General features: G+C 50.5%; 1 protein-coding gene across 18 annotated transcripts in view, besides 4 other annotated features; it reads right to left on the reverse strand.

Annotated features, from left to right (window-relative positions):
- Nucleotides 1-5,966, reverse strand: part of MBP (myelin basic protein) — a 154,876-nt gene extending 148,910 nt beyond the window's left edge. For 10 of the 18 annotated variants that reach the window (XM_047437532.1, NM_001025101.2, XM_047437530.1 and 7 more), the window contains exon 1: nucleotides 4,838-5,041. The gene's annotated coding sequence lies outside the window, so the exon portion shown is untranslated. Of the gene's footprint in view, nucleotides 1-617; nucleotides 5,042-5,773 lie in introns of those variants that run through there. The other 8 variants (XM_047437533.1, XM_047437523.1, XM_047437528.1 and 5 more) reach the window with 7 other exon arrangements.
- Nucleotides 136-185: an enhancer, noted in NCBI's record as "active region_13531". NCBI's record gives its function as "activates an Ori minimal core promoter by ATAC-STARR-seq in GM12878 lymphoblastoid cells {active_cell/tissue: GM12878}" and the evidence as "EXISTENCE:reporter gene assay evidence [ECO:0000049][PMID:35858748]".
- Nucleotides 206-265: an enhancer, noted in NCBI's record as "active region_13532". NCBI's record gives its function as "activates an Ori minimal core promoter by ATAC-STARR-seq in GM12878 lymphoblastoid cells {active_cell/tissue: GM12878}" and the evidence as "EXISTENCE:reporter gene assay evidence [ECO:0000049][PMID:35858748]".
- Nucleotides 356-415: an enhancer, noted in NCBI's record as "active region_13533". NCBI's record gives its function as "activates an Ori minimal core promoter by ATAC-STARR-seq in GM12878 lymphoblastoid cells {active_cell/tissue: GM12878}" and the evidence as "EXISTENCE:reporter gene assay evidence [ECO:0000049][PMID:35858748]".
- Nucleotides 4,006-5,305: a silencer, noted in NCBI's record as "silent region_9564". NCBI's record gives its function as "represses an Ori minimal core promoter by ATAC-STARR-seq in GM12878 lymphoblastoid cells {active_cell/tissue: GM12878}" and the evidence as "EXISTENCE:reporter gene assay evidence [ECO:0000049][PMID:35858748]".
- Nucleotides 5,967-21,663: the final 15,697 nt, after the last annotated feature.

The raw sequence follows: 21,663 nt of genomic DNA on the forward strand, positions 1-21,663 counted from the left end.
GAGGATACACAGATGGCCATAAGTACATAAAAAGGTCTTGATGTCATTAGCCATCAGGACAATGCAAATTAAACCATCAGGAGATATCACTACACACTTATTAGAAGAGCTAAAATAATAAAAAAAAAAAATAGTGGCAATACCAAATGCTGCCCAGGCTGGGAAGGTCCTGAATCACTCACACACCGCCGGTGGGAATGCAAAATGGTGTAGCCATTCTGGAAAAGAGTTAGCAGTTTCTCATAAAATTAGACATGTGCTAACCATATGACTCAGCAATTGCACTCCTGGGCATTTATCCCAGAGAAATGAAAACTATGTTCACACAAAAACCTGTACAAGAATGTTCACAGCAGCTCTATTTGCAATAACCAAAACCTGGAAATAATCCAAGTGCCCTTCCTGGGTGAACGGTTGAACACACCTTGGTTCATCCAGATGACGGAACACCACTAAGTAATTAAAAAGAAACACCTATGGACATGCTTGCCAACCCGGATGGGTCTCAAGGGAATTGCGTTTAGCGGAAAAAGCCAGTCTCGAAAGGTTGCATAGTGTATGATTCCATTTATAGAGCATTCTTAAAGCGACAAAATTATAGAAAATAGGAACCATACTGTGGTTGCCAGCCTCAGGGAGGGGGAAGGAGGAAGTCAGCTTGGCTATAAAGAGTAGCATCAAGGATCCTGTGATGAAACTCTCCTGTCCTCTGATGTGTTGGTGGTCACATGGTTCTACATGGGTGATAAAATTACAGAGAACTAAGCGCACGTGCATACCACACACACACACACACACACACACACACAGAGCAGTCTATAAAATGAGTACATGTAAACTGGTGGAATCTGAAATCTGAACAAAGTTAATGGGTTGTATCAATGCTCATTTTCTAGTTGTGGCATTGTACTATGGTTTTGTAAGATGTTATTGTTGGGAGAAACTGGTGAAGGGAATTGCATGTGAATCTACATGATCTCAAAACAGGGTTTTACTACATTGCTTCAGTGAATATCCACTGTGTGTGTCTTATGCACACAGACCAGGTTTTCCCTAGAGGAGATACCTAGAAGTGGAATTGTTAGATCTTAGGATACACCCACCTTCACTTTTTCTAGATTATTCTCTAACATCTTTGTTCCTATTTACATTCTAGTCGAACTCATGTGAGGTCTAAGTTTTCTACACCTTCTCTAATATTTGGTATAGTCACAATTTAAATTTTTTTCCAGTACCGTAAAGGTAAAAAAAAATCTTTTTGCCATCTTAGTTTTGAATTCCCTGATTCCCAGAGGGTTAAAGTCCTTTTCTTATTTTATCAGTCCATCTGGGTTTTCTCATTAGTCTCATATTTTACTCTTGAGTGGCTTGTTTCAAATTACCACATTTTAGAACTGTTTCTGTATTCTAGATCCTGGCCTCACATAGGTCTGTTTCTCCTCATCTTTTAGATATCCACCTATTTTTCACAATGGTGACTCAGACCAACGCAGTGCTATTCACAGAGTCCAGAACAAAAGAACATTCGGAATGACATTTTTACGCTTTAATGGCTATTGAGTGTGAGACATTACTAATAGCTTTGGAACATGCACTCGTGGTTGTTGCTGGCATGTGGGAGATGTTGCTGTGGAAGGCAGCTTCAGTCGGCCGGGGAGATCAGCTGCCTTCTGGCTGGCCTGTCCTACAGACGTCCCACAAACCTGGCCAGCCCACCTCTGCATAAGCCATTCCTTGCCATGAGTCTCTAATGTGTATCTCCACCTGCTTCTGTTTCTCTGGATGAAGCCTGTCCACTACAGGTTTTGACAGAGATTTAAAATCTCCTGTAGAGACTATTCCAGCTACTCGCCTGGCATTTCTGCTCAGCTGGCATTAGGGCCTGTGGCATGAGCACTCTTCCCTTAAACAGCTCCAGAGCTTCCTTCACGGGTTCCAATGGGCCAACAGAAGTGTCTTACTACTTAATGGCCACTTATTTAAAATTATCCCAAGAGTAATTAGAGGCCAGGCGCGGTGGCTCATGCCTGTAATCCCAGCACTTTGGGAGGCCGAGGTGGGTGGATCACTTGAGGTCAGGAGTTTGAGACCAGCCTGGCCAACATGGTGAGGCCCCATCTTTACTAAAAAACAAAAACAAACAAAAAAACGCAAAAATCAGCCAGGTGTGGTGGTGCGCCCCTATAGTCCCAGCTACTGGGGAGGCTGAGGCAGGAGACTGTTTTGGATCCAGAAGGTGGAGGTTGCAGTGAGCCGAGATTGCACCACTGCACTCCAGCCTGGGTGACAGAGCAAGACTCTGTCAAAAAAAAAAAAAAGAAAAAGAAAAGGAGTAATTAGAATATTTTCTTTTCTTTTTTATTGACAACTAAGAAAGCTAAGGAGAAGATGATGAACAAAGACGGATGACAGTAGCCTTATGGTGAAATCATTCTTGAAAGGAAACCTGTGTGGGACATCTCTGGGTACACTCACTCATCATTGGGGTGGAATTTTAAAAGGAGGAACGAGGAGCACCTTTGCAAGGCATCCTTCTCACCACGGCGGTGCAGAGCAGCAGTCAGGCGCTGGTGCAGACTCCCCGGATGGAATCCCGCCTCTTCTTGTGTGCCCTTAGAGTAACTTAACCTCTCTGGGCCTTGTTTCCTCAACAGTAAAAAATGAAGATATGAATAGGATGGTGACATCCAGTGAGGGCATCCTAGGGCCGTCCCGACTGTTATCCGAGGTGACAAACCGCTCTCAAAAGAGAGTCTGGCAACGTGCAAGCAGTCGATAAACACTCCCAGGCGACAGAAAAGGCACAGAGGCAGCTGCTCATCTTAAGCATGTCATATTTTTAAAGAACTTGGAGGAGGATTAAAAGTCAAACAAAATAACTTACAATTAACATTTACAAATTCAGGCAGAAATAGAAACATCACAAGAAAGTTTGGTCTCTTGTTTTTTTTTTTTCTTTTTTCCCCAGCGTTTCGTGGCTACCTTTAATCAGCGCACACAGCTAGGACCACCACTGACCAAACTCAAACCCGACGTTTTAAATCATGGAGGAGCCATGAGCTACCAGGTGTAAAACAAGCGACGTGTCTTACACTTTCTTATCTTTGGGCAGAACTGTGATACTTCTGGAGGATTTTCAAAGAGGATTTGAACAAAATAGCTTTGTTTAACCCGGAGTTAGTAGAAGTGGTTGTTTCAGAACAGTTAACTCCCTGGGAGTTACTCCAGCATTTACAGCAATTTTTAACTGTGTTCTTTTCCCTCAGATTTCTGTTTTTCCCACAAAAAAAAAAAAAAAACAAAACCTCAAAAAACAAAACACACACACGCGCGCACGCACGCGCACACACACACACACACACACACACACACACACACCCCCTCTGCCGCGGTACCCTTCCCCTGGCCTTCCTCCACTGAAGGGCGGCTGGGTTCCAGGCTCTCAGCCGTGACCACAGCCCCGGCCCCAACCGCTAAGGAGGTGCTCATCACTGGAGGTGGCCGCCAGGGAGCTCAGTGCGGGACCTGCTCAATCCATACGGTCCCCTGACTTGAGGGTGACCGTCCTTAAACTGTCCCCCGGAGCTTCGCCAGATAAAATGTCCAAAACACACACTGGAGTTCCCTGACGTTTCCTTCCTCTGAAAAACTCTCTTTCCAGGCGGGGCGTTCTGTGGTCAGACGAGGCAGAGGCCTCCCCGGAACGAAGTCCACGCCCCCTCCCCACCCCAGCACCCAGCGAGCCCACGCGCCCCTCACCCACGCGCAGAGAAACCGAGCACTTGTTGATTCTCACGTTGTTGCAATTGGAAAACGGAACAAGGAACCAGAGCTCGCCTGTTTCCAGCCAGAGTCGCACGGGGGTCCCCAAAGACGCTTGAACCTTTTCCCAAGCCCCACTCCACCTTCCAAAACGGGGGGGCTCAGGTGGACGCGAAAGGACACAAGGCGCTGCCCCCAGCACCCCGGAAAATCTAGTGTGGCGGCAAATGACCGCAGGTCACACACCCCGGCCTCGGGGGCCACGGAAAACGGACGCACCCGGCCCAGGACAGGCAGTGGGGCCCAGGAGGGGACTGCCGGGAAGACCCGGGCGGGCCGGCGGGCGGCTGCGGGCGGCGCACGTGGGCCCAGGTGGGCGCAGCGACGGGCCCGGCCGAAGAGCCCGAGACAGGCCCTGCGAAGGCGGAAGCCCGGACCCGGGCTCTCCTGGCCGCCCCTGGAGCTCAGAGGGAGACTGCGCTTCGCCCCGGGGGCAGGGGCAGGAGCGCGATCGCGCGCGGGGCCCCCGGGGTGTGATTAGCAGGCGCCGCGAGCCGGGAGGACCCCCCAGCCCGCCCTGGCAGCCAGCACCCTCTCCACACCCGCCCAGAGTGGCCGCTTTTGACCGCCGTCCCCTCCCACCCTAGACTCCTCCCCTCAGCCCCACGGCCCGAGGCCGAGCGGTTTCAGCGACCCTGGGACCGCCGGGCCTGGCTGGAGTCCACCCCTGGACACCTGTCAGGGTCGGGCCCCGGCGCTGTAAACCCGCGTCTACACCCGCGCCCAGCCCCCGCGCAATGGGGATCGGGGGCGGCGACTTGGGTTCGGGTCAGGGAGGCCGCCGGCTGCTACCTGCTCGGCCACCTGCTCCGCTGCCTAGGTTCTCCCTGCGCGTCCCCAGCCAAGAAAGGGACCCGGAGTCCGGGCGTCGGGATAGCTCCTGTCCCCGATCTTGCGCCCCCGGCTCCCGCGGGGCTCCGGTCCGGGGTCCCGCCCAGGTCTCCGCGGTCCCCACTCGGAGGGGCACAGAGACAAAGGCGGCAGAGCAGCCCGCCCGTCCCCGAGGGTCACCCACCGGCGCTGCGCTCGTTGCTCCGAGGCCGAGGGGCGCCGCGGGGTCCAAGGCCCTGCTCCGCCTGCCCAGGCCCGGGCAGGCTGGTCTCGGCTTCAAGCGCCCACGCGCGGGGTCCCCGGGCAGCCTGCTTCGCCTTCCGGGGTCGGGAGACAGGGGCCGCCGGGGCCGGAGGCTGCTTCTCTCTGGCGCGCGGCGGCGGTGACTGACGGCGGCGGCTCCGAGGGACGGGCGCGCACCCAGCTCCCCGGCCCCGCCTCCCCGGGCTTCCTGCGAGCCAGGTAAACACAGGCCGATCCCGCCGGGCCCGCCCCACCTGGACGCGGCCGCCGGCGCCGCCCCGGGAGCTCGGAGGACCCCGGGCCCGCTCTGCCCACGCGGAACTTGGGGGGCGCACGGGGCCCACGCGCAGGGTCAGACCTCGGAGGGGCGGCCTGGAGCCTCGCCCGCTGCCGAACTGGGCTCCGAACTGCGGCCCGTCGACCCTTCCCGTTCGGAGGCTTGGCCTCCGAACCCACCCCGACCCCGACCTCGACCTCGCGGGAGGGGTGCCAGGCCGCATCTCCCCGCGTCCTCAGGGGCTGGAAACCCCAGAAACTGCCGATAGACTTGGCGCAGCCCCGGCCCTGCAGGAGGAGAGTCAGCCCGGCCTGGAGGCGAAAGGAGCCGGCAGGTCCTCCCAAGGCACTCCCTCCCTCCCCTGGAGCCCAGGCCAGGCCCATGTCCGGCTGGCAGGTGCTCCTCTGGGAGCTGGGAGCTGGGAGCTGGGAGCTAGGGGCGCACCTTCTCCTGCAGGACCGGCGCAGGAAGCGTGCGCGGAAAAGACAGCAAAACACGCGCAGGTGCGAGGAAGCAGCCTGGTCCTGCAGCCCAGAGACATCGTGGTCTTCGTCGCTGTCTTGTTAAAAAGAAAAAGCCTGCTGTTTAGCCGTGACTCACCTGCACACAGATTTAGTGGTCAGAGATCTTTCTCTGGATTCTCAGCCTCCTGATGGTGGAAGAGGAGGAGGTTGGGGGAGTCCCAGAATGAGGCCCCGCGTTCCTCCTGACCTACACCCCCAGTCAGGGATCTGGATCTGGAGCTTCCAGGGGACCTGGAGCAGCCTGGGACCCACACAGTTTGTTAGGAAGTGAGGGAGAGGGGTGAGCGCTGTCCCGGCCCGCGCTGGGAGGCGGGACTCAGACTTCAGCACGGGGTCGGGGTTTCGGCCTAAAACCAGCCTCCCCCAAAGCCCCGGAGGATTTAGCAACTGTCTTCAAATGCTGGCAACTGGAAGAGAAATACTTCCACAACGACGCAAAAGCATTCAGTCTGGTCGTTTCCTCAGGAGAGATTTTCAAGTGGAGGGGGCAGGAGGGTTCTGAGACTTTGAGGCTGAAGGTGAGGAGGGAAAAGGGTGCCAAAGATAGTGTGTTTCTCCAATTTTTCTGCCCCACAACCTCACTTTAAGTCAAGGATGAGCGGAGTGGGCGTGGGAGGCTGGACAGCTGCCCTAGGAGCACGGGTGGTGACAATGAACCCGGGTGCACCCAGGTCCCAGCTCAAGTCACTCAAAGCTCAGGCTGGGGAAGCTGGAACACTAAAATGGGTCCCATTTTAGATACCTGCTTTAGCATCAGAAACAGCTTTTCCTCCCCAAAATATCTCTTGGCTTTATCTCAGTGACTCCACAGGGCGGGGCCACCTTCCTGCCTGCAGATGTCCCTGTGTGCTGGGCTCTGGAGCGTCCCTCAGGCCACAGTGACAGCTGCACACGCGGCCTTCTGTTTGGTGCTCCTTCTGCTGGTGTTACAGTGGTTTCCTGAAACACTACATATGCCAACAGTCAGCCCTACAAATGTCAGGCTCCACAAGTTCCAGTTAAAAGTCTTTTTAAAGTATTTATGAAATTTCACCGTGCATATTTTGTTGGGATAGAGTGTCCACACAGATGGGCAGCCAGGCAGTTTAGAAAAGTCATGGATTCTTCAAAGAAAACATGTAGATAATACTATTTAATAAAACAGTGGATTCACATTTGGATCAACTGGTCTTATCTTGGGGGCTTTCATGCCCTCCCGGTTAGAAAAAGGACCCCAGGTTGAGGACAGTGGATGGAAGAAACAGAGGCTGGCATTTCACTGTCGAGAGACAAACTTTCACATGAAGATGTCCATGTAGCCCTCAGCAAAGTGACAGAGATTCGTTGTGCTGAATAAAATTGAAAGGCATCTTTTGACAAGTAACCCATCAAAGCCTCATTGTGTCTTTGACATTTCTAAGAAAATCACATTGCAGTTACCCCCATCTTTCACAAGGTACCGGAGAGCAGAAAGTTTGACCTATCCATCATCTCATATGGCAGCAAATAGCAAAATGTTTTGTGCATGAAATACACTCAATAAATTTTTGTTAAGCTGAATTAAACTCCAAATTACCCAAGCTAAAGGAAGTAAATGAATCTAAATAGTTTCCAACAGACCTCAGACTGCACGAACTTTGAGTTTTCTTTAGTTTCCTCATCAACAGATTTGTCTTTGTTATGATGTTTTGCTTAGGAAAGGACTGAACTTTTTTTTTTCTTTCTTTTTTTTTTTTAGATGGAGTCTTGCTCTGTGGCCCAGGCTGGAGTGCAATGGTGCAATCTCAGCTCACTGCAACCTCCGCCTCCCAGGTTCAGGCAATTCTCCTGCCTCAGCCTCCCGAGTAGCTGGGATTATAGGCAACCGCTACCATGCCCAGCTAATTTTTGTATTTTTAGTAGAGATGGGGTTTCACCACGTTGGCCAGGCTGTTCTCGAACCGCTGACCTCAGGTGATCCACCTGCCTGGGTCTCCCAAAGTCCTGGGATTACAGGCCTGAGCCACCACGCCCGGCCAGGACTGAATATGATTTTCAGACCTGGTCTAAACCTCTCTGAGCCTCAGTCTCTTCATCTGCAGTGTGGAGGTAATAGTCATCCTCATATCAGGGCTGAACACTCTCTTTCTGCAGCTCAGGCATCGGTGGATACCCAGGTGTGGAGGTCTCCCTCATTCATCCAGGGGTTGATCACAGTTGTTTCCAAACAAGTGGTACTTCAGAGGAATTCTGGGCTGGCTCTTCAGACGTTACATCTATTCGCTCTGTTGCAATATATATTCACAACCTCGCCAGTGGGGCTTACTTCCCACGTGAGGGTGTATTAGTCAGCTCAGCTGCTATAACAAAATACCACAGACTGGATGGCTTAAAAACAGATGTTATGCCAGCTCTGGAGCCTGGAAGTCCAAGATGCAGGTGCTGGCGGACTTGGCGTTGGGCGAGAGCTTGCTTCTTGATTCATAAACAGCACCTTCTCTATGTGTGTCGGGTGGTGGAGGGAGAGAAAGAGGAAGGGGAGGAGACTGGGCTGTGGCCTCTTTTTCTTATAAAGACACTAATCCCATTGTGAGGCCACCCTCACGGATTCAATCTAAGCCGAACTATCTTTCAAAGACCCCATGTCCAAATACCATTCCCTGGGGGTTGCGGCTTTGACATATGAATTTTGGGGGGATAGATGTGCAGTCCTTAATAGAGGGTTAGATTAAGACATAGGGAAAAAAAGGAATGAATACTCAGCTTCCAATCTAGTTAACAGAGTTCCCTGCGGGGGGTGGTGGAATGAGTGCCAGCCTCCCCAGGAGCTGGGAAGGAGCTGGACTGGGCAGGAATAGAGTGAGGGATAGGAGAGCCTTAGCCAGGTCTGTGGGGTGGGTGGGGGTTGTGTGTGTGCTGGACTTTGTGCTACATTTGATGCTCCTATAACAAGGGGATTAAATGTGACATCTTAATAACCAGCCCCAGGAAGCAGCCCGAGAGGACGGGAGGGTTGCCGGGAAGTCCAGAGCATGCACAGTGTGAATGTGCATGGGAGCCATGGCAGACCCCAGAGGGAGCCAGGAAAGGCTGTGAGGAGACAGCGGCCCTGTTGCAGGGGTGGGGTCAGCAGCCAGCTCTGAGGGAGGGAGACGGGCCCTGGAGGGAGGGGCTCAGAGGCAGGGTGAGTGGGAACCAGGAGGGCTTGGCCCTGGCTTTGGGGACCTCCCACTTCTGACCCAGACCTGCCTCCACGGTGCCCCTCCTGCCTCCACGTTCTTCCTGTACCAGGCTTCCTTTCTCTGGAGTTTGTCCTCAAAGGTGGAAAAACTGTGTTTCTACAGTGAAAGTTCACTGTTAAGGGTTGAACTGTGTCCCCGAAGAGAGAACTCGAAGTCCTGACCACCTAATACCTGGGAAAGTGACTGTGCTTTGAAATAGCCTTTGCTAGTGTCATCAGGTGGAGATGAGGTCCTTGGGGGGGTCCGGTGCGGTGGCCATGTCCTTGTAAGCAGAGGGGACACTCAGAGGGAAGAGGCCACATGGAGACAGAGGCAGAAGTGAGAGTCATACATCCCGGAGCTGAGGGATGCTGGGGGCAGCAGAAGCTGGGAGAGGCACGGAGGGACCCTCCCCTGCAGCCCCTGGCAGGAGCACAGCGCTGGCCACACCTGGATTTCATACTCCTGGCCTCCAGACTGAGAAGCTACATTTCTGTTGTGAAGCCTCCCAGATGGTGACTTTCTGTTACAGCAGGGCCAGGCAACGAGAGCCAATCCCTCCAGGGGGAAAAACGGGCGTCCGCGCGTTCACTCTACAAAGCCTTTAGTTAAAGTGGAAATCAAGCAACTTGGCCACAAAAGTCATGAGGTGTGGGAGGAAGGTGAGCAGAGGAGACTGAGGAGGACCACAGGGCAAGGCCTTGGGAGCCATTGTGGGGAGTGAGGTCAGGGGTCAGAAGTCAGGGCCTCTGCTGGTTCCCATCCATGGCTCCAACCACCCAAACCTCCTCTCTGAAGCTGTGCCCAGACAGCCCAGGGCAACACCTGGCCTCCTCTCCCCACCTGCAGGCTCCTAGCGCCCTCCAGGTTCACAAACCCCGGGGGACAGTGTCAGGCCACCCCACAGGAGAGACCCACCCCCTGCTGCCTGTGCCTGGTTCTTCCTCCCACAGTTAAGACCCCAAAACCACCCTGAGAGGGTGTCATCTGCTACTTCCTTCCCAGAAGACCTTGGCCTGAATCTTGTCATTTAGTGCCTTGCGAACGTGTGCTACACTCCTGACATATGCCTAGCACTGGGCCTTGGGGGCCCAGGAGCTGGTCACAGAGATATTTGGGCCAGTGGTCGTGTTAAGGCCAGTTGCAAGGGCTGGCAACAATAGCAGTTTGAGGGGAACTGGAAGACCCAGAGGGTGGCCCATGAGCCCTGCCCGGAAGTCAGGAAGACCCTGAGGGTGTCTTTCGAGGTGTCCTGGGGGAAATGCCAGGTGGAGAGGGGCAGAAGGGGCATTGAAGGTGTGCCAGGTGGAAGCACCAGCCAGCAAAGTCTCAGAAACATGATGTGCTGAGGAACCATGGGGTTTTTGGAGCACAAAATGTGTGACAAAGAGAGTCTGAACGTCCGAGAACATCAGAGACCGAACAGCAGCTTGGAGACATCAGCTGGGGCCAGGCCGTTTTGGAGCGGGCTCCTGCCAAGGAGCTTCAGGGCTGCCCTTGAGGAAGGAGAGGTTTGAGGCCAAGGAGGGCACTAACCAGAGGACGTGGGCCGGTGAGCATGTGGATGGCTCTGGGGAGAGCAGAGAAGTGGGGCGGGGGAGATTCCAGCAGAGAAAGCACTAGGGAAACCCATAGTCATTAGTGAGACCCAGGGGCGCTTCTCTCATTCCCTGCACTGTTTTAGGAGCCTGGTGCATGAGCCGTGAAGTCCTCACGGTGAGCGGCCTTCAGAGGAGCTCACGGATTCTCCATGCTGCACAGGGTAGTGACCCCCTGAGGGTATCAGCGACACTGTGAGCTCCTCAAGGACAGGCATGGGGCCACCGCTTAGCTACTTCAAGCACTCAGAAGAGTGCCTGGCACACAGGAGGCCCTGGATAAATATTTGCTGGATTTGTTGCAAGAAAGGGCTAGAGTCTGGCGTGGGCAGCAGGCATTCTGGCTGCATACCAGACTCTGTACCAAAAAAAAAAAAAAACAAAAAGGTTAGGAGACTGAGCTCCTCCGGTTGGTCTCTCCCGGCCATATATTTATGTCTCTTCTTGGATTAAGCATTTCATATTTTTCTGCAACTTCGTTTCTCCATAGCTCAAGTGAAACGGGATTAGGTGATTATTTGACAGTTAGCAAATATCATAAGCCTTGAGGACACACTAATATTTTCAAGTGTGTTTGGTAATCAGGAGTTATGGGAAACTGACTTAGTATTTAAAGCTTTTGGCTAAATTGTACAAGATAAATGAAACTCAGTAGTTTTTTACTGAAGTGAACTCTCTTTTTGGCTTTGTACTGTATTATCTATTAAAGTATCCAGTAGTAATGGGTGCAAGTGAAAGATGCCAGCATGGTGTTCGGTTATTCCGGATATCTTTATTGTTACTGTTTCTGGGACTGAACATTTATATGTAACTGTTCTTACAGCAATCAAAAACAAAAATTTTAGAAATTCATCTGGTTAGGAAAATACATTTGCTTCTCTATTTGCAGAAGGACGTGTGCCACAGCTTATTAAAATAAATGCAAATTAATATACAGCCTCATTGAGCATGGATTATATCATATAACCAGTGATTTTAGCTTTTTTTTTTTTTTTTTTTTTTTTTGAGACAGAGTCTTGCTCTTTCTTCCAGGCAGGAGTGCAGTGACGTGATCTCGGCTCACTGCAACCTCCACCTCCTGGGCTTAAGCGATTCTTGTGCCTCAGCCTCCCGAGTAGCTGGGACTACAGGCGTGTGCTACCATGCCTGGCTAATTTTTGTATTTTTTTTTTAGTACAGATGGGGTTTTACCATGTTGTCCAGGCTGGTCTTGAACTCCTGACCTCAAGTGATCCACTCGCCTTGGCCTCCCAAAGTGCTGGGATTACAGGCATGAGCCACTGTGCCCGGCCGTTTTTAACTTTATGGTAACATAATGTGTGGTCAGGTTTACATGGAGAAAAGCAGTCTACACTACTCCAGTTTTTTTTAATGTTAAATTTCTCTATGACACTGTATCCTAGGTCTGACATTGCAGTTCACCAAGGAGCCATGTCTCCCAGGCAGAATGGAGATCCATCTTTCCTGGCCCTGCCTCTCCACCTTCTCCGAGCCAGCATTCTAGTTGTCTCCAGGAATGATCTCCCTGACCATCCAGGGCTCAAACCCTGAACCTAGGAATTGTCCCAGATGCTTTGCACCCCCATGTACCTGATCTGTTGACACATCCTGTCACGCTGTCCCCCAAACTTCCTTGTTCTCTGCATGTCCGTTCTTCACCTCGCCCAAGCTGCCCTGAGGCTCCCCAGGCTGCAGTGGCTGTTTCAGTCCACACCATGGAGAGATGGGTTCTTTAGCCCTGCGTTGGTCATGCCACATCCCTCACTTGAAGTCCTGCAGTGCTTCCCATGTGATATGGTTTGGCTGTGTCCGCACCCAAATCTCACCTTGAATGTTAAAATCCCCATGTGTCAAGGCCAGGACGAGGTGGAGAGAATTGAATCACAGGGGCGGTTCCCCCTTACTGTTCTCATGATAGTGAATAAGTCTCATGAGATATGATGGTTTTATAAAAGGCAGTTCCCCTGCACAAGCTGTCTTGCCTACCGCCATGTAAGACTTGCCTTTGCTTCTCCTTTGCCTTCCGTCATGACTGTGAGGCCTCCCCAGCCATGTGTAACTGTGAGTTCATGAGTCCATTAAAGCTCCTTCCTTTATAAATTGCCCAGTCTTGGTGATGTTTTTATTAGCAGCATGAGAACAGACTAATACACCATGGCCTTTAGAAGAAAATCTATACACCTTCCCTGGCTTGGCCGTGCCCCTCAGAGCCCCCTCCGATACACCCTCTGTGTCTCATGCTTGCCTCCCGTGTTTCTGCCTCCCCTGTGTCTGCTGAGCTGTTTTCTCTTCCCCAAAAGCCCCCAACACTGGCCCATTTTTCTAGTCATTTGGGCCTCTACTTAGAAGTCCCTTCCTCCTTCAAGGGGCACAGAGTTTCTCTTTTGTAAGACAAGGAGAGTTCTGGGTGTGGAAGGAGCTGATGGCTGCAGGAGGATGTGAAATTGCTAATGCCACTGAGCTGTGTGCACCTAGACGTGCTTATGAGGATTGATTTTAGAGTGTGTGTATTTTACCACAATTTAAAAAAGTCCTCTCCTAGTGAGACCTATCCTGGCCTCATGTTTGGAAGCAGCCGTCTCATCAGTGTCTCACGTCACTGTGTCATCTCTGCACTGCACTGACAATATGACCTGGCACCTTCCTGCTTATTTACTGGCTATGCTCCACACTCTCAGCCTCCTGCATTAGCACGTGAGCTCCACACAGGCAGGGGCCTCGCCCTTCCTGCTGACTTCTGCCTTGTCAATCCCTCTGGCAGGCGGGCCTGTAGTAGGGCTTCAGTACAGCACCCAAGTGATGGTCAGGCCCCATGTGACCCAGTCTGGCTCAGAGAAGCACAGTTTATCAGCTAAAAGGAATTGCAAGTGACTGTAAACTACCCTGGTTACTCCCTCAGAGTACAGGAGAGAGGGGAGCATGTCTCTAATGCCCACAGACTGGATTAACTACCCTCTCCCTCCAGCTCTGCTGCTTTCATTAACACAGGATGGTGTCTCCCCAAAACACTCTCCTCTTATGTTTAATTGAATCCTTTTCATTATTTTCTTTGATGGAAATGGAAGACTGAAGTCAAAATAGTTGAACAACACATGGCATTTACTATGTTGTAAGTGTTTTAGAGACTTCCATGATTTCATCCTCACAACATGATGCTCAGGGACACGGGGCCAGGTCCACAGCCTGAGAAGGTGAGCATCCACTCAGGGACATGAGGCCAGGTCCACAGCCCAAGAGGGTGAGCGTCCACTCAGGGACAAGAACCAGGTCCACAACCCCTAGAGGGTGAGCGTCCACTCAGGGACACGGGGCCAGGTCCACAGCCCGAGAGGGTGAGCATCCACTCAGGGACATGGGGTCTTCCTCACATACGTTTACTTTTCAAAATTACCAGAAATCTTGGCTTGGTGTGGTGGCTCATGCCTGTAATCCCAACACTTTGGGAGGTGGAGGCAGGCAGGTCACTTGAGGTCAGGAGTTTGAAACTAGCCTGGGCATCATGGTGGAACTCCTGTCTCTACTAAAAAAATACAAAAGTTAGCCAGGCGTGGCAGGCACCTGCAGTCCCAGCTATTTGGGAGGCTGAAGCAGGAGACTCACTTGAACCCAGGAGGCAGAGGTTGCAGTGAGCTGAGATTGCGCCACTGCACTCCAGCCAACAGAGGGCAACAGAGGGAGACACTGTCTCATTAAAAAAAAAAAAAAAAAAAGACCAGAAATCCCTTTTGCCCCTCCCCCCACAATGGCATTAAACTGAGTGCCACCCACATGAGGCCATCAGCTCCGAGCCCATGATATCTGGTCAGGTGAAGCTCTCTGCATCTTCTTGGGTGTGGCTCTCAGGTTTGGTGGTGGGATGGGGGAGGGAGCTACAGAGTAAGTATAAGTGGACTGCCATGGAGAGGAGGAGAGAGGAAAGCCATGGGCAACTCTGTGGTCCACGCAAGGACCCAGTGATCATGCCCCTGACTCTGTGTCTGTCTGTGATATGGTTTCGCTGTGTCCCCACCCAAATCTCATATTGAATATTAATTTCCACAATTCCCATGTGTCATTGGAGAAACCCAGTGGGAGGTGATTGAATGATGGGGGTGGATCATTCATGTGCTGCTCTTGTGATAGTGAATGAGTCTCACAAGATCTCATTGTTTTAAAAACGGGAGTTTCCCTGCACAAGCTCCCTTCTCTTGTCTGCTGCCACGTGAGACGTGCCTTTCACCTTCTGCCGTGATTGTGAGGCCTTCCCAGCCATGTAAAACTCTAAGTCCAATAAACCTCTTTCATTTGTAAATTGCCCCGTCTTGGGTATGTCTTTATCAGCAGTGTGAAAATGGACTAATACACAGTAAATTGGTACCAGTAGACTGGGGCGCTGCTGAAAAGATACCCGAAAATGTGGAAGTGACTTTGGAACTGGGTAACAGGCAGAGGTTGGAACAGTTTGGAGGGCTCAAAAAAAGACAGAAAAATGTGGGAAAGTTTGGAACTCCCTAGAAACTTGTTGCATGGCTTTGACCAAAATGCTGATAATGATACGGACAATGAAATCCAGGCTAAGGTGGTCTCAGATGGAGATGAGAAACTTGTTGGGAACTGGAGCAAAGGTGACTCTTGTTTTGTTTTAGCAAAGAGACTGGTGGCATTTTGCCCCGGCTTCAGAGATTCATGGAACTTTGAACTTGAGAGAGGTGATTTAGGGTATCTGGTGGAAGAAATTTCTAAGCAACAAAGCATTCAAGAGGTGACTTGGGTGCTGTTAAAGGCATTCATTTTTATAAGGGAAGCAGAGCATAAAGGTTTTGAAAATTTGCAGCCTGACAATGCAACAGAAAAGAAAATCCCATTTTCTGAGGAGAAATTTAAGCTGGCTGCAGAAATTTGCATAAGTAATGAGGAGCCAAATGTTAATCCCCAAGACAATAGGGAATATGTCTCCAGGGCATGTCAGAGTTCTTCACAGCAGCCCCTCCCATCACAGGCCCAGAGGTTGAGGAGGAAAAAATGATTGTATGGGCCAGGTCCAGGGTCCCTCTGCTCTGTGCAGTCTAGGGACTTGGTTCCCTGTGTTCCAGCCACGCCAGCTGTGACTAAAAGGGGCCAAGGTACAGCTCAGGCTGTTGCTTCAGAGGGTAGAAGCCCAAGCCTTGGCAGCTTTCATGTGGTGGTGAGCCTACAGGTGCACAGAAGTCAAGAACTGAGGTTTGGGAACCTCTGCTAGATTTCAGGAAATGCCTGGATGCCCAGGCAGAAGTTTGCTGCAGGGACGGGGCCCTCATGGAGATTCTCTCCTAGGGCAGTGCAGAAGGGGAATGTGGTTTTGGAGCCCCCACCCAGAGTTCCTACTGGGACACCACCTAGTGGAGCTGTGAGAAGAGGGCCACCATCCTCCAGACCCCATAAAGGTAGATCCACTGACAGCTTGCACCATGTGCCTGGAAAAGCCACAGACAGTCAATGCCAGCCCTTGAAAGCAGCCAGGAGGGAGGCTGTACCCTGCAAAGCCATAGGGGTGGAGCTGCCAAAGACCATGGGAAGCTACTTCTTGCATCAGAATGATGTGGATGTGAGACATAGAGTCAAAAGAGATCATTTTGGAGCTTTAAGTTTTGACTACCTGCTGGATTTTAGACTTGTGTGGGGCCTGTAGCCCCTTTGTTTTGGCCAATTACTCCCATTTGGAATGGCTGTTTTTACCCCATGCCTGTGCCCCCATTGTATCTAGGAAGTAACTAACTTGCTTTTGATTTTACAGGCTCATGGGCAGAAGGGACTTGCCTTGTCTCAAATGAGACTTTGGACTATGGACTTTTGAGTTAATGATGTAATGAGTTAAGACTTTGGGGACTGTTGGGAAGGCATGAATGGTTTTGAAATGTGAGGACATGAGATCTAGGGGGAGCCAGGGATGGAATGATATGGTTTGGCTGTGTCCTCACCTAAATCTCCTCTTGAATTGCAACTTCCTCACGTCCCATGTATTGTGGGAGGAACCCAGTGGGAGATGACTAAATTATGGGGGCAGGTCTTTCTTGCACTGTTCTTGTGATAGTGAATGAGTCTCATGAGATCTGACAGCTTTAAAAATGGGAATTTCCCACACAAGCTCTCTTCTCTTGTCTGCCACCATGTGAGATGTGTCTTTCACCTTCTGTCATGATTGTGAGGTCTCCCCAGTCATGCGGAACTGTAAATCCAATAAACCTCTTTCTTTTGTAAATTGCCCAGTCTTGGGTATGTCTTCATCAGCAATGTGAAAACGGACTAATACGCTTTGGAAAGGCCCTGAGGTGACGCCCCCAGGTGGCTCCACATTTTCTAGAGCTTTCTTATGGCAGAGATGTGGGGTCCTCCCGCATGTTTGCCTTGGTGGCCCCTGGCTCAGTTTTAGCATTTCTTTGGCAGTGCAAGGCCTTGACATTTAGACTTCTGCTCTGTTTGTTTGGTTTCAGTTGTTTAGTAACCCAAACCAGAGATCTTATCTAGCTATCAAGTTTGAGCCCAGAATTGGGAGGGAACCTCTGCATCCTGGCAACAAGCTTTCTCCCAGCTTCACTTTGCATTTAGTGGCTTCTGCCTCAGGTACATTCCAAATAATGTCCGTTGGTGGGAGGCAAAGCTCTGGCTGCTCACCAGCTGAACCTCTCCAGAAAGAATGACTTTCAAGGAAAGAAAACCTGATGGGAGGTGCATGGGGGCAGCATGAGGATCTGACTTCTCCCGACCTCTGTCCATGGTCCTGTTAAATCCCCACTTCCTGGCACTGCTGGTAAAACCTTGGCCTGGGGATAGAGAATCCTGCAAGTCTCTTGGCCCCAGAAGGTCAGATAACAAGGACCACATCTTCTGCTCACCAACCCATACCCATTTCTTCTCTGCATCACAGGTGGCCCCTTCCAAAGCAATCCTCTCTTTCCTGATTGGGCCTCACTCTCCACATTTTGAATTCTATGGTCCCCTAGTTCTGTAGCCTCACATCACACAAGTGCCAGCTCCACACACAGATAATATAGCTAGATGTTTAATTTTAAAATATCAAGGATGGCCAGTGGCTGCCCCTTCTCTGCCTCCAGGCAGCCAATGCCATGTTTGAATGGCTGTTGGTAGGAATATTCCTCTCCTGACCACGTTATTTATTGGTTGGAAGTCCCAAGAAGAAAACCAACATTAACAAGGATGCAGGCAGTAAGAGGAAGCCACCGTATTTTGCATCACTAGAAGGTTCTGAGGATGCACTGAATTTGGCAGCTCCCGTGATGAGACGGGGGCCACCATCCCTCTCTCCATCTGTCCTGCTTCCTCAGAGTGTATTCCAGGTTTGGCAGGGTTCTCTCATGGCCCACTGCTGCCAGCAGCCCTGGGTGCCTTGTTCATACTCGGTCTTCAAATAAAACCTTGGGGCTCCCCTCAGAGGGGATCAGCTCAGGCTGTGTGGCCATCACCCAACCAAGAATGGCAGTGTGAGAAGGGATGGAGCTAGCCTGGTCACAACAGGAGTTCCGTGAGCCCTCCCGGCATGGGGGCAGCTTTCTTGGAAGGTCGGACTCACAGTCACACATGGACACTCAGGTGAAAGTGATTTTTGTCGCTGCTTGTGCAGAGATGCCGTATATCATGACACTCAGGGGCCCGTGTGAGGGCCGGGCCTCCTGGGCTCAGCCTCTGCAACTTGCTGGCTGTGTGTTCCTCAGTGTCTTCCCGGTAGATGGTGATGGTCACCGTTCTGCCCATATCCCAGGCATTGTCCTGAGGATGAAATGAGAGTCTGTGTGAGATTCTTCAGAAGTGCCTGGCACAGAGTGAAAACTGAATAAGCATTTGCTATGTATCTATGTATTTTCTATTTTTAAAGAAAGTAAACATTATTAGTTTCAAGAGCCCAGAGGAATCACAACTAGGCTAACAAATTATAGCTGAACAGAGGACATAGGGGAAGGGCTCCATTATTTATAAAAATGAAGAGTAAAAACAATAATGACTTTTCATGACCTAGTGGGTAATTACATGAGCACCAGAGGGCATTTAAAAAGCTTTTTCCCTTAAGTAGTTTGAACATTCTCTTTGAAACATGAATACTATGCACAGGATTCAGAACTGGTGACATCTGAAAAGACGCGAGCTTGAAGGGAAAGAGGAAAGTGGATGCTGTTAGTTCCTGACAGCTGGGGCTTGTCCTCTCGGTCAGAGCCACCTGGCAACACGGAGAGGGAGCCCACTTCCCCTGAGCCGGGATGTAGATGGGACCTGTTGATGTCAACTGCCAATAGCATGGAAGAGAGCGTGCAGGAACAGGAGAGAGAACGCACAGGTTTTCCTCCCTTTTCCTGTGCAGACCTGCTCCAGGGTCATACAACATCGAGTGCCAATCAGACAAGGTTCACCCCGTGGATGAAAAAAGAGCTACAGTTTGAAAACCTAGTGGGAAATCTAACTGACTCATCCCTGCCTTCCCAAGTATGTTCTGGGCCTGTTGTACCCGCAAATACCTCTGCCGTCCTGCAGATGGGCCTGAGTGCTGTAAATTCCCATGGGGTGGGGAGACATGACTGGTGCTCCCGCAGTGGTAATGCCACTGTAGGCAACTGAGAGTGACACACAGTTAATTCCTCAGCTCATTCACTTCAGGTCCCGAAACAGTCACCAGGTGACCCTTCTGCAAATTGGAGCAGCTTCATAAGCAGAGGAGAGAAGAAGCTTGACGACACCCAGGACGGATGCCCTGCTGAGCCTGGGCATCAGTGCTGGCTCTGCCCACTTCCTGCCCAGACTCCTGTGCTGTTTGGAGAAAACTGGGCAGGAGGTGGGAGAGGTCTTTGGCATAAGAGTGTTTGGTAGCTGAATAGCCTACTCATAAACGATCAGCCATTAGCCATACCTGTCTTTCAAACGTTATGTTATTCAAGCACTGCCTACTTATGGCTAAAAGTTAGAAAATGTAGAAAAACATTTTTAAACATAAAAAGCTCCAAATTATACTACTGAGAAACAATTATCTGAGCGTGGTATGAACTTTCACTTTTCACTCTTTTATTTATAAAACTAGAATCATGCTATAATTTTTTTGTAACTTGCTTTTCCACTTGGCAGAATATCGTAAGCATCCTCCCAAGTCAACGAATGGGTATCGATGTCCTTGATAAAAGTAACCATATTCTCTTTTTGGACTGGCTGGTTGGTTTCCATTCATTTTGCTGTGGAGCCCACTTCTAATGTGTGAGTTTAGAACTGGAAAGTCCTGGGTCTCTCATATTGCTGGTCCCTCCTTCCTTTTTCTGGTTTCATGGTGTTCTGAACGTATGCTAGACGGCGCTGGTTTGCAGAGCCACACCTGGAAAACCAGACAGAAAACAGACCTCTGTGTGCAGCCCCAGTCTCCACTGTCCCCTGGGAGAAAGAGTTCTCAGAACAGGAGGCATTTGCACACAGAGGTCCTCAGTGGGATGGGAATCAGACCTGCTGGTGTGTGTCTGGGAAGAGCTTGGAAAGATGTCAGGGGTTTACAGATCTGAGATGGTCTTAGGAGGGGAAGTGCACAGGCTGGGTGTCAGGCCCTGCTGCCAACTCCCCCTTTGATTTGTCACTTCCTCTCAAGTGAGTCACTTGCTCTCTTTAAGGCCAATTTTCCTCATCTGTAAAGTAAAATAGAATGTCGTGGGTATTAAATAAGAATTTGCATGTGAACTCACAATAAAAATGTGAAGAACCTGATAGAATTATGGTATTTGTGTTAAATCATCATCATCATCAAGTCTAGAGCTGCCTGTAATCCCAGCACTTTGGGAGGCCGAGGCAGGCAGATCACCTGAGGTCAGGAGTTTGAGACCAGCTTGGCCAACATGGTGAAACCCCATCTCTACTAAAAATATAAAACTTAGACCTGTGTGGTGGTGCACACCTGTAATCCCAGCTACTTGGGAGGCTGAGGCAGGAGAATCACTTGAACCCAGGAGGCGGAGGTTGCAGTGAGCTGAGATCACGCCACTGTACTCGAGCCTGGGCTACAAGAGTGAGACTCTGTCTCAAAAAAAAAGGAAAAAGAAAAAATAAAGTCTAGAGCTGTGCTATTTAATCTACTGGAGGCCCAGGTGAAACACACACTCTACACAGATAAATGCAGTCATGGTAATTTTGGCAATAATTATGAAATGCATATTGCTAGGTTGATCAATTAACTTGAATGAAATACCAGTGGGCTGACAGAGTAAGCTCAGCCCACATTCTAGGAGAATAGACCTGTTTCTTGCTTTCAGCAAAGCCAATGTACAAAAGTTCATAATTAGCCAGGCGTGGTGACTCACACCTGTGGTCCCAGCTACTCGGGAGGCTGAGTTGAGAGGATTGCTTGAGCCCAGGAGGTTGAGGCTTCAGTGAGCTGTGATAGCACCACTGCATTGCAGCCTGGGTGACAGAGTGAGATCCAGTCTCTAAAAAAAAATGTTCATATTTACCAAGAGGATTTAAAAACTGTGAGATTTCTTTGAAGTGCAAGGTCCCCTGGTTCATTTTAAGTGAGCGTTTATAATTCCCACCTGCCTTTATAAAATCACAGATATCAGGTATTTGGCTCAGAAGGCCCAGTGACTTGTCACATGCCATCGTATGCAGGACAGAAGATGGGCACTCTGTGAGGAGTGAGGGCGGTGGAGAAGCTGTGTGTCATCTGTTGCAGTGTATATTTGCATCAGAATGTGGGGTGTGCCTGTCTTCCAGCAAAGGCAGGGTTAATTCCCGAGGAGATGGTCCACAGCTTCCACTTTTTATTTCTAGTGTTTACAGGCTTTCACTAGAAAGGACTTGTGGGGACTTTAAGAGGAGCTCTACTGAAGAATGAGTGAGGCCCACACTCATTGGTGCACTGACTTTATTTTTTTATTTTTTATTTTTATTTTTATTTTTTTGAGGCGGAGTCTCACGCTGTCGCCCAGCCTGGAGTGCAGTGGTGCGATCTCTGCTCACTGCAAGCTCCGCCTCCTGGGTTCACACCATTCTCCTGCCTCAGCCTCCCGAGTAGCTGGGACTACAGGTGCCCGACACCACGCCCGGCTAACTTTTTTTTTTGTATTTTTTAGTACAGACGGGGTTTCACTGTGTTAGCCAGGATGGTCTCTATCTCCTGACCTTGTGATCCGCCCGCCTCAGCTTCCCAAAGTGCTGAGATTACAGGTACATTGACTTTAAATTTGATGATCTAA

The sequence above is a fragment of the Homo sapiens genome, chromosome 18, assembly GCF_000001405.40.
Source record: "Homo sapiens chromosome 18, GRCh38.p14 Primary Assembly".
Taxonomy (NCBI): Eukaryota; Metazoa; Chordata; class Mammalia; order Primates; family Hominidae; genus Homo; species Homo sapiens.